General features: G+C 40.4%; 1 protein-coding gene across 16 annotated transcripts in view; it reads left to right on the top strand.

The window, feature by feature from the left end:
* TRAPPC9 (trafficking protein particle complex subunit 9) overlaps nucleotides 1-12176 on the top strand; it is a 730855-nt gene that overhangs the window by 29095 nt on the left and 689584 nt on the right. For 11 of the 16 annotated variants that reach the window (NM_031466.8, NM_001374684.1, NM_001374683.1 and 8 more), the window contains one exon: nucleotides 2844-2870. The exons of the other annotated variants lie outside the window; for them this stretch is intronic. In NM_031466.8, the coding sequence (NP_113654.5) occupies nucleotides 2844-2870 (27 nt within the window). The remainder of the gene's footprint in view (nucleotides 1-2843; nucleotides 2871-12176) is intronic. 16 annotated transcript variants of the gene reach the window in all.

Raw genomic sequence — 12176 nt, 5'->3', positions numbered from 1 at the left:
TTACAGATGTGGAAACTGAGGCATAGACAGGTTGAGGAACTTGACCAAGGTTATGGAGCTAGTAAGTGGCAGAGCTGGGATTTAAATCCTGGCAGTTGGCCAGGTGCAGTGGCTCACACCTGTAATCCCAGCACTGGGAGGCCACGGTGGGCAGATCACGAGGTCAGGAGTTCAAGACCAGCCTGGCCAATATGGTAAAACCCCGTGTCTACTGAAAATACAACAACAACAAAAAATTAGCTGGACGTGGTGGTGCGCACCTGTAGTCCCAGCCACTTGGGAGGCTGAGGCAGAAGAATTGCTTGAACCCGGGAAGCGGAGGTTGCAGTGAGCCAGGATTGTGCCACTGCACTCCAGCCTGGGCGACAGAGTGAGACTCTGTCTCAAAAAAAAAAAAACAAAAACAGAAAAACAAAAAACAAAACAAAAAACCCCTGGCAGTCGGGCTGAGCTTCAGTAGATTGGCTTCCGGGGTTTAGAGGTATCAGCATATCTACAGTTCCATGTATACATCTATACATCAGTCAGGGGGTTGGCCAGTGTGGAAAGGGTGGGACAGAGAGAGTTATGCAGCGCTGGCATTTGTGTCTTGGCCACTGTCCACAGAGAGTGCACTGCGGTTTGCATTAATCATTTGTGTAGGCAGCAGGTTTCTCCCTGTAACAGAACTTTAGTCCATCAAATTCATCTAGAAAACTCCTGTTCAGAGAAAGTGGAGTTTTCTAGATGAACTTGATTTGTATTTCAACAAAATACAACTACTGAATTCTGTTTCAGGGAAGGGAGTGGTATTCAGTTCCCCATCTGAACACTTTAATGCCCCTAAATATAAACAAAAGATGAGGCTCACAGAGGCTTACCTTAGAACAGGAACAAACTGAAGCATCGGCCCACTCTCTTCATTTTACAGGCAGGGGTGATGGTGTGAGGCTTTGTTATTCAGGTGTCAGGATCCTGCTGTAGAGGTGACAACCACTAGGAAAGGGCCTAGAAACCAGCATTTGGTGTGTGAGGGCATCCTCTGTAATGGTCCCAAATGAGACGTATGGACCTGATTTCTACTTATCTCCTGCCTGTGATTTGGCCTTTGAAGAGAAAATGTGCTGATCGTTGAACCCTGATATTTTGGTCTGATTGATAATTTTGTGTCTCCCGTTACATTAATAGTTAAACCTCCAGTTTTCCTACACTGGTCTCTTACAAGTTTGGTTAATGTGAAATCAGTCCACTAGAGGCTGATGATACTAATAGTCAAATGATTGATGATTGTGATAATAACTCTGGGGCATCAAAAGTTTAACTCATATCCCCTACCTAAAGGACATGGCATAGTATAATATATTTGGCCAGGTTCTTCACAGAACAAAACGTTTCTAGGTTATCTGGAAATCCAGACTTCCTCAAGGTCTGTGCAGCTGAACGTCTGCTCAGTGCAGACCTTGGACCTGGTGTTGTGGCGTGTGTGGCGGTGGGGCTTCCCTTGGCTCCTCTGGGCTTCAGTCTCCCCATAGGCAGGGAGGGTTAATATCTGTTTATTTTGTAGGGTTGCTCTGAAGGTCATACATGATATTTGTTAAGCATCATGCTTGGCAGAAAGGTGTTATTCAATGGAAAACACCTGTTTTTTATTTTAATGGTGGCGTCAAGATTGCAGTGATTTTTAGTCTGCGTTTACAAACAGATGGCTGTACACAAAATAGCTCTTAAATAGCACCATAATCATGGGGCCTCTTCTCTGTGTAGACAATTGAATACATGTGCTATTTCCATAAGATTATTGGGACATACCTTTTTGAATCTTCTTAACATGTTTAAAAATGAAAATAGCTAATGATAAACATGACTCTTGGAACCAGTACCCCTTGAGGTGTGTTTTGCCATGATGGGAAATTGCATTCTATAGAGAAGTTGAATTGGATCACACAGATGTTTGGGTAGTTTAGCAGACCACCAAGGCTTTCAAAAGTTTCTTCATAATAGTGAAGTTAATAGTTTTGTATTTTAAGCTAACTACAAAGCTACCTTCTAAAAGCTGGAAATCTTTAACTTGATGAAGTGTCCAATTATTCTGTGTGTGTATGTGTGTGTGTGTGTGTGTGTGTGTGAGAGAGAGATATATATATAGAGAGATGTATTTTAGGGGGGTTGTGAAAAGTTCCACAGAGCCACTGGCACCTTTTCTCCCCCATTCTAGGCTGCTGACATACATTTGCACAAATAATAATCCTTTGTCACTTGGCTTATTTGTGGAAATAAGGAATTGTCATACTTGTTTAAGAAGAGCTGGCAGGCCGGGCATGGTGGGTCATGCCTGTAATCCCAGCAGTTTGAGACCAGCCTGGCTAACATGGTGAAACCCGTCTCTACTAAAAATACAAAAAAAAAAAAAAAATTAGCCGGTCGTGGTGGCGCACGCCTGTAGTCCCAGCTACTTGGGAGGCTGAGGCAGGAGAATTGCTGGAACCTGGGAGGCAGAGGATGAAGTGAGCTGAGATCACGCCACTGCACTCCAGCCTGGGCAACAGAGCAAGACTCTGTCTCAGAAAAGAAAAAAAAAAAAAGAACTGGGAGCATGAACATAGAAAGTGGGAAGGCAGAGAGGTGAGGAGGCACTTAACAATTTGTTTAGGGTATGAGTAATAGTAGCTTTTCTTTTCTCTTTTCCTGTCTGAAGCAAAAAGGCACCAAACTTGTAACATACTGTTCCTCAGAATTGCTTTTCTGATCAGATACAAGTCAGATTTTTCTCTAGGCTATGTGAATTATGAAATGTGTTTTAGTAGTTATTTTTAAAAGTAGTTTTGTTTTCCAAATAAAATACCATAATCTGTTCTTTCTTCCAGGGGCACAGGAAGTTCTCATTGATCCAGGTACATGATCTATGTGTTTAGTTTCTTTTGGTTATTTTTTTAAGTGCTTGTTTCATGGTGATGTGAATGAATGGTTAAAATTTCTGGATGATGATCTTTGGAACATTCTGATTTAAGTAACTTTAAATCAGAACTGTTAAAAGCTTGATGATTGATTGGTGGGTCCTTGCTTGATGGGCACCCCGTTGCTTTATGTTGTCTGTTGAAGAGGAGGCTTCTTCCTCTAGCATGGCTAAGTGAATGATTTGAGAATTGTGCCTTTAATTCTTTGAATGCATTGAGCATGTTTGTCCTGTTAATTTTGAATTCATTTGTAATCACGACTTTGCTCTGATTTGTGGCTTGTGCTCCCTTCCACGTGAGTTAATTCTCTACTGCATTTCGTCTGTGTGTTCTTAACAGGGAAAGAAATCTCGTAGTTTTTACAAAGGCAGGTTTTTCTTCCCCTTGTAATATCTTCTGTAATTAATACAGCAAAAACCTCTTTTATTACAGTGCTTAATTATTTCATGATGAGCTCTATTATTTTCTGACTTAATGAGAAACAATGACAGGGTAAATAATACAAAATGAAAACAGTCTAGAATTGAAATCAGATGGCTGTGCTTACACAGCCTTTGTGACTAACACATTCGCTTTCATCGCCTCGTGCATCTTGGCTCTGAAATGAAGTTGCCCCAGGTTTGCAGGCGTTGGTTTTAACATTTGCGTTCACTCCTTTCTCTAGGCCGTGGCTAAGTTTCCTGATGGAGTTTGTGGAATGTGTAGAGAAAGGACAACAAATGCTTAGTTTTGGTTTCAGGAGACCTGAGTTGCTGATGAGAAGGCATCTGGGGGACAGTCAGGCGGGCAGACTTTATGCCACTGAAGAGCTGAAAGCCCCGCCAACACTGATGACAAATGAAATGGATGTTGAATGTACTGGTATTTGACCAGTATGAGTTGCTGAGCCCCAGTTTGGCTGGTTATGCCTGCTATAAAATACTGAATTGCAGTGTGTCAATCACATTAGTTGTAGGAGAATTAGATGTGTACACCATATAGAAGTAGCTTAGAGCTATAAGAAAAATCAGGCGTTTGTTGAGATAAGGCATTTTAAAAAGATTTCCGACGCTTTTCAAGATAAGGTTGTGTAGAGGTGAAATTGAGTTTAGAGTGTTGGGAGGAAAAGTGAGGAGATTCTGTGGGGCTTTGTTATTCAAGGGTGCATCAAGGTTCTGCTGTAGAGGTGAAAACTGCCAGGAAGGACCCAGAAACCAGTGTTTGGTATGTGAGGACATCCTCTGTAATGGTCCCAAATGAGAAACGTGTGGACCTGACTTCTCTTTACCAATGGGAGAGCGAGTAAAGAGAATGAGATGCCGTCCTGGCCCCACATTCTGGTTCCTGCCTTCCAGGCCACGCCAGTTCCTGCTAATGCCTTCTGGCCTCTGCTCTTGGGGACCTTTGTATCAGGACTGACTCGCTACTGAAATCATATCTGTCTTTCAAGCGTTGGTCCTTTCTAAACCCTTGCAAATGTGTTAGCAGTGACAGTGCTGGTAGGGAATCTTCCTAGCTCCTAGGAGCAATGCAATTTGATTCTTCACAGCCTCTCTATCTGAATAGCTAACACTCTCTCAGGGGTTGTAAAATTGTTCAGCTCCCGGAAAACCCATTCATGTGAAGCTATCACAAAATTACATCACTTTCATTTGATTTTTGAGTTTTAAATGGACATAATGTTTGAAGCAAACTGTTTCCAAATTTTTTTCCTACCCGCTTTCCTCACCACCGTTTCCAAAACCGGAAGAAGAGTTTCACGGTTTTCGGGGGCTCCTCCATCTCTCATCCTAAGAACTAAGCTTCCCCTCCCAGCATTTCTAGCAGCTAGGCCTTTGTGTTCTTTATCTGCATTTTTAAAGTGGAATGATTCTTAAAACTCTTTTTTCTTGTGTTTTTTTCTTTCATTTCTTTCATTTTTTTTTTTTTTTTGGAGACAGGTTCTCACTCTGCCGCCAAGGCTGGAGTGCAGTGGCTATTCACAGGCGCGATCCTAGCTCACTGCGCCCTTGAACTCCAGGCAATTCTGCCACCTCAGTCTCTGGAGTAGCTGGGACTACAGGTGTGTGCCACCATGCCCAGCTAATTTTTTAATTTTTTCATAGAGATGGAGTCTCTCTCTGTGTTGACCCAGCTGGTCCTGGCCTCAAGCAATCCTCTCACCTTTGCCTCCCAAAGTGATTACAAACATGAGCCACTGTGCCTGGCATCTTTTTTTTTTTTAATTTAATTTCTAAACATTTCGTGTACATTCAGCAACTACTTTACGTAAAATGATCTTTTGGATAATTTTAGTTGACTCATAATTGCTTTTTCCGTTTTCATGTGGAGGAGAGTTTCTTCTTCCTGTAATAAAAATGAGCAGTTTGCACTTATTATGTGAGAGACACTGTTCTAAGGTGCTTTTTTTTAAAAAAACAAACAAACAAACAAACAAACTAGTTTTAATGCAGTTTACCTATTTAAAGGGTAAAATCCAGTCATTTTTAGTATATTTACAAAGTTGTGCAACCCTCACCACAATCAGTTTTAGGACATTCTCATAACCCCAGCAGGAAGCCATATACCTGTTAGCAGTCACTCTCCTTTGCCTATGTCCTTCCCTTACCCCCAAGCAACTAGTAAGCTATTTTCTTTCTCTATTATTTGCCTGTTCTGGACATCTCATATAAATGGCATCATACATATAATGGTATGTGGTTTTTGTGACTGGCCTCTTTCACTTACTGTATGTTTCAAGCTTCATGCGTATAGCACGTGTCAGTATGCATTTCTTTTTCTTCTTGCAGAATAATATTCCATTCTGTGTATATATATATGTATATATATGTGTGTATATGTATATATGTGTATATATGTATATATGTGTATACATGTGTATATGTGTATATATGTGTATATGTGTATATATGTGTGTATGTATATGTGTTATATATGTGTATGTATATGTGTATATATGTGATGTGTGTGTGTGTGTGTGTGTGTGTGTGTGTATGCCACATTTTGTTTTTCCATATTCCATCAGTTGATGGACATTTGTATCATTTGTACCTTTTGGCTATTATGAATAATGATGTTATAAGCATTTGTGTGGACATGTGTTTGTTTGATTTATTTATTTATTTGTTTTTTGAGATGGAGTTTCATTCTTGTTGCCCAGGCTGGAGTGCAATGGTGCGGTCTTGGCTCACTGCAACCTCCGCCTCCTGGGTTCAAGCGATTCTCCTGCTTCAGCCTCCCAAATAGCTGGGATTACAGGTGCCCACCACCATGCCTGGCTAATTTTTTTTGTATTTTTAGTAGAGAAGGGGTTTCACCATGTTGGCCAGGCTGGTCCTGAACTCCTGACCTCAGGTGATCCTGCCTCAGCCTCCCAAAGTGCTAGTATTATAGGTGTGAGCCACTGTGCCTGGCCCATATGTTTTAAATTCTATTATGTGTATGTCTAGGAAGGGGAGTTGCTGGGTCATGTGGTAACTCAACGTTTAACTTTTTCAGAAACTGCCAGATTGTTTTCCAAAGTGGCTGTACCACTTTACATTACTACTAGCAATGAATGCAAGTTCTAATTTCTCTGCATCCTTGTCAATACTTGTTACCTTTTTGATTGTGGCCATCCTGGTGGATGTGACCTGGTGTCTCATTGTAGTTTTGGTTTGCATGTCCCTCGTAGCTAATGATGTGCATCTCTTCATGTGATTATTGTCATCTCTATATTTTCTTTGAAAAAATATCTATTTAGATAGTTACCAATTTTTAAATTGGGTTGTCTTTTTGTCTTTTTATTGTTGAGTTGTAACAGTTTTTTTTTTTTTTTTTGAGACAGAATCTTGCTTTGTCGCCCAGGCTGGAGTGCAGTGGTGTGATCTCGGCTCACTGCAACCCCTGCCACCCGGGTTCGAGCGATTCTCTTGCCTCAGCCTCCTGAGCAGCTGGGATTATAGACACATGCCACCACGCCCGGCTAATTTTTGTATTTTTAGTAGAGATGAGGTTTCACCATTTTGACCAGGCTGGTCTCAAACTCCTGACCTCAGGTGATCCGCCCACCTCGGCCTCCCAAAGTGTTGGGATTACAGGCGTGAGCCACTGCACCTGGCTAGTAACAGTTTTTTATATATTCTATATATGAGTCCTTTGATATATGATTCGCAAAATTTTTCTTTCATTCTGTGTGTTATCTTTTCATTTTCTTGATATGGTGTCCTTTGAAGCCAATACAAGTTTTAAATTTGGATGAAATCCAGTTTATGTTTTCTTTGTTCCTGTGCTTTTGATGTCATATCTACGACTTAAGGTGCTCTATATAAACTTTACACCTAAAGCAATTTAATCTTCACGATTCTAGGAGACAGGTACTGTTGTTATCCCTAGTCTATAAATGGGGAAACTGAGATGCAGGAAGGTTTTCTGACTCGCTGAGGGTCATAGCTAGTAAGTGGTGATGTGGGCATTCAAACTCATGAGTTTGCACCCAGGATTTATCCTCTTAACCACCATACTCTATTGCTTTTTTTAGGGAATCATTTACTGAAAACTATTTGCTTGTTTGATTTCTTGCCCGTTTTTTTTTTTTTTTTTTTTTTTTGTCATGAGGGACCTTATCTCTTCATTCACCTTGCAGAGTTCGGCGTAGGTTTATTTTTGGTCGAATGTAGGCAGAATCATTGCTATCAGTTAATTTCTGCATTACTTACTCTGCAGTGGTGATCACTGCTAGTTGAGCTAACAAAGTCATTTAAGGCTTTTCTGGTCATCACACTAATAAAGGTAGTGTCATGACTACAGAAAGTTCAAAAACAGTATTTGATTGATTCCATTTCGTTAACTAAAGGAAAAAAATCCCCAGTGTTGACACAGATTGTAAGCCTTTCCAGAATACGGTCGTTGTCTTCCTTTTTTTCCTGTTGTTCCCTCGCACAGTGCCTGGCATAGTGCCTCATTGTCCAGCGGATTAGCTAGAGTATGGCGGTCTTCAGTCACTGTGTACAATGACAGAATTTTGACAACAGTATCTGTTGTTTGTTTCACAAGGTAAAAATCATATAGAAATATCTCTCAGATGTATAGAAAAAGCCTGGAATTTTGTAAAGACTTCCAGAAAACAAAAACATACAAAGGTATTTTCACTGCTTTTAGATGTCTTAGACGTATTATGGTTACACAACAGAGTAAATTCGTTAACTAGATTTGACAAGTCATGTAATATTGATTACCTGTCATAATTTAAAATATTCTGGCTCCATTAAAGTAATTAGTGCCCATGAGTAAGCAAAAATAAGCTAACATTTATATGCAGCATGGGGGTAGACTTTATATATATGTGTGTTCATGCATGTATTTCCGTCTTTCAGAGGCTTTGGCAGCTTTTCAACAATATTCTAACTTTAGAATTCTATTTAAAAAATCATCACTGTGGCTAGTGCACTTTGGGCTGAGTTTATCCTGTCTTATGCACAGAATTCCACTGTCTCCTAGGGAAAGGTTTCCTTCCATTATATTGAGTTAATATCTGAATTACAGGAGCTGTGATTTCTTGAACTCCTGGCCTTAAGTGAGCCTCTTGCCTCAACCTCCCAAAACGCTAGGAATTTAGGCGTGATCCACATTACCTGGCTGGGGCTGTAATTTCTAGGCCTTTTCCTCTCCATGTGTTTAAAGTTGACTATCAAATGTGATTTTCCCTTTGTTTGTTGGGTTTTCATTGGTCAACTAGAACTTTTGAAAATGAATTTGTTTTTATATGTTATACAAATTTCCCTAGGAACTTGATGGGTTTTTGCTTTTAAGTTTTCAATTTATGAAAAACTTAAATATACTCTTATTTATAAGTTATTTTTCACTAGATATTTGTTTATCTCTTTATACATTTTTTTAAGCAGTAGGTGTGCATGTTTAAAAAATAACTTATACATGTAACAAACCTGCACATGTACCCCTTGAACATAAAAGTTGGAAAGAAAAAAAAATGTAAAAACAAAATCATGTTTTTTCCTTATTGTAAAAGTCATCTTCATTATAGAGAATTTAGAAAATAAAGGTAAAGAAAATAAATAAATTTAAAAATTACCCATACCTCCCCCACCCCAGGTAGGTTGTAGTAAATTTTGAAATTGGGAAGTGTAAGTCTTCTGAATTTGTTCTTTTCTTCTCAAGATAGTTTTGGTTATTCTGGATCCTTTGAATTTCCGTATGAATTTTAGGATCAGATGGTCATTTTCTACCAAGAATCCAGCTGGGATTTTGATAGAGATTTGATAGAGATTCTCCAAACTGTTGATCAGTTTGGAGAATATTGCCATTTTAAGAAGATTATATCTTGTAATCCATGGACATGGATGTCTTTTCAACATTTACCTTCTTTAATTTTTTTTAGCCAATGTTTTGAGTTTTCAGAACATCATTTTATACTTTTTATGGGGGTTAAATTTTTTGGGTTAAATAAAAAGTATTTTATTCTTTTTCATGCTATTGTAAATGGAATTGTTTTCTTAATTTCATTGTCACATGGTTCATTGCAAGTATATGGAAACACAATTTTTTGTGTATTGGTTTTATATCCTTCAAATTTGTGGAACTCATTTCTTAGCTCTAAAAGTTTTTTAGTGGATTTTTTAGGATTTTCTAGAGGCAGGATCATGTCATCTGAAAAGAGACAGAGTTTTTCATCGTTTCTCTTTTTTTTTTGAGACGGAGTCTCACTCTGTCCCCCGATCTGGAGTGCAGTGGCGCAATCTCGGCTCACTGCAAGCTCCGCCTTCCGGGTTCACGCCATTCTCTTGCCTCAGCCTCCCGAGTAGCTGGGACTATAGGCGCCCGCCACCACGCCCGGCTAATTTTTTTGTATTTTTAGTAGAGACGGGGTTTCACCGTGTTAGCCAGGATGGTTTTGATCTCCTGACCTCGTGATCTCCTTGCCTCGGCCTCCCAAAGTGTTGGAATTACAAGCGTGAGCCACCGCACCCGGCCTCTTCCTTTCTAATTTGGATGACTTGTCTTATCCTTGATTGTAGGGAGAGTCTTTTATCATGAAGCATGATGGTAGCTGTGGGTTTTTCACAGATGCCCTTTATCAGGTTGAGAACATTCCCTTCTATGCCTCGTTTTTTGTTTTGTTTTGTTTTTTTTTTTTTTTTTTTTTTTTGAGACGGAGTCTCACTCTGTCGCCCAGGCTGGAGTGCAGTGGTGCGATCTCAGCTCACTGCAAGCTCCACCTCCGAGGTTCACGCCATTCTCCTGCCTCAGCCTCCCGAGTAGCTGGGACTACAGGTGCCCGCCACCACGCGCGGCTAATTTTTTTGTATTTTCAGTAGAGACGGGGTTTCACCGTGTTAGCCAGGATGGTCTCAATCTCCTGACCTCCTGATCCACCCGCCTCGGCCTCCCAAAGTGCTGGGATTACAGGCGCGAGTCACCGCGCCCGGCCAATTTTGTTGTATTTTTAGTAGAGACGGGGTTTCACCGTGTTAGCCAGGATGATCTCGATCTCCTGACCTTGTGATCCACCCGCCTCCGCCTCCCAAAGTGTTGGGATTACAGGCGTGAGCCACCGCGCCTGGTTAGCCTAGTTTGTTGAGTGCCATCACGAAAGGGTGTTGAATTTATCAAATGCTTTCTTTGTGTCTGTTGAGATGATCATGTGGTTTTGTCCTTTATTCTACTAATTTTCAGACATTAAACTAACCTTAGATTCCTGAGCTGAATCCCACTTGATCATGTTGTATAAACCTTTTTATATCATGCTGGATTCAGTGTGCTAATATTTTATTGAGGATATTTGCATCTGTCTGTCTGTCTGTCTATCTATCTATCTATCTATCTATCTATCTATCTATCTATCTATCTATCTTTTTGAGATGGAGTCTCGCTTTGTCGCCCAGGCTGGAGTGCAGTTGCATATCTCGGCTCACTGCAACCTCTGCCTCCCAGGTTCAAGCGATTCTACTGCCTCAGCCTCCCGAGTAGCTGGGACTACAGGCATGTGCCACTGCTCCCAGCTAATTTTTGTATTTTTAGTAGAGACAGGGTTTTATCATGTTGGCTAGGCTGCTCTTGAACTCCTGACCTCAGTCAGTCCACCTGCCTTGGCCTCCCAAAGTGCTGGGATTACAGGCGTGAGCCACTGCGCCCGGCCTTGCGTCTATATTCATAAGAAATGTGGATCTGTAGTTTTCTTTTGATGTCTGTTTCTGGTTTTGGTATTAGGGCAACATTAGCCTCATATAATGAATTGGTTAACGTTCCTTCCTCTTATGTTTTCTGGAATAGTTTATGAAGAATTGGTGTTAATTTGTCCTTAAATATTTGGTAGAATTCACCATTGAAGACAGCTGTACCTGGCCTTTCTTTATTTTTATTTTTTATTATACTTTAAGTTCTGGGATACACGTGCAGAATGTGCAGGTTTGTTATATAGGTATACACGTGCCATGGTGGTTTGCTGCACCCATCAACCCGTCATCTACATTAAGTATTTCTCCTAATGCTGTCCTTCCCCTAGCCCCCCATTCCCTGACAGGCCCTGGTGTGTGATGTTCCCCTCCCTGTGTCCATGTGTTACCATTGTTCAGCTCCCACTTATGAGTGAGAACATGTGGTGTTTGGTTTTCTGTTCCTGTGTTAGTTTGCTGAGAATGATGGTTTCTAGCTGCATCCATGTCCCTGCAAAGGACATGAAGTCATCCTTTTTTATGGCTGCATAGTATTCCATGGTGTATATGTGCCACATTTTCTTAATCCAGTCTATCATTGTTGGACATTTGGGTTGGTTCCAAGTCTTTGCTATTGTGAACAGTGCTGCAATAAACATACATGTACATGTGTCTTTATAGTAGAATGATTTATAATCCTTTGGGTATATACCCAGTAATGGGATTGCTGGGTCAAATGATATTTCTGGTTCTAGATCCTTGAGGAATCGCTACACTGTCTTCCACAATAGTTGAACTAATTTACACTCCCACCAACAGTATAAAGGCATTCCTATTTCTCCACATCCTCTCCAGCATCTGTTGTTTCCTGACTTTTTAATGATCGCCAGTCTAACTAGCGTGAGATGGTATCTCATTGTGGTTTTGATTTGCATTTCTCTAATGACCAGTGATGATGAGCTTTTTTCGTATGTTTGTTGGCCGCATAAATGTCTTCTCTTGAGAAGTGTCTGTTCATATCCTTCGCCTTTGCTTACTTTTTGATGGGGTTGTTTTTTTCTTGTAAATTTGTTTAAGTTCTTTATAGATTCTGGATATTAGCCCTTTGTCAGAT

Source organism: Homo sapiens, chromosome 8 (genome assembly GCF_000001405.40).
Source record: "Homo sapiens chromosome 8, GRCh38.p14 Primary Assembly".
In the NCBI taxonomy this organism is placed as follows: domain Eukaryota; kingdom Metazoa; phylum Chordata; class Mammalia; order Primates; family Hominidae; genus Homo; species Homo sapiens.
The sequence above is the reverse complement of the archived record's forward strand: the minus strand, read 5'-3'. Positions and strand labels throughout refer to the sequence as shown.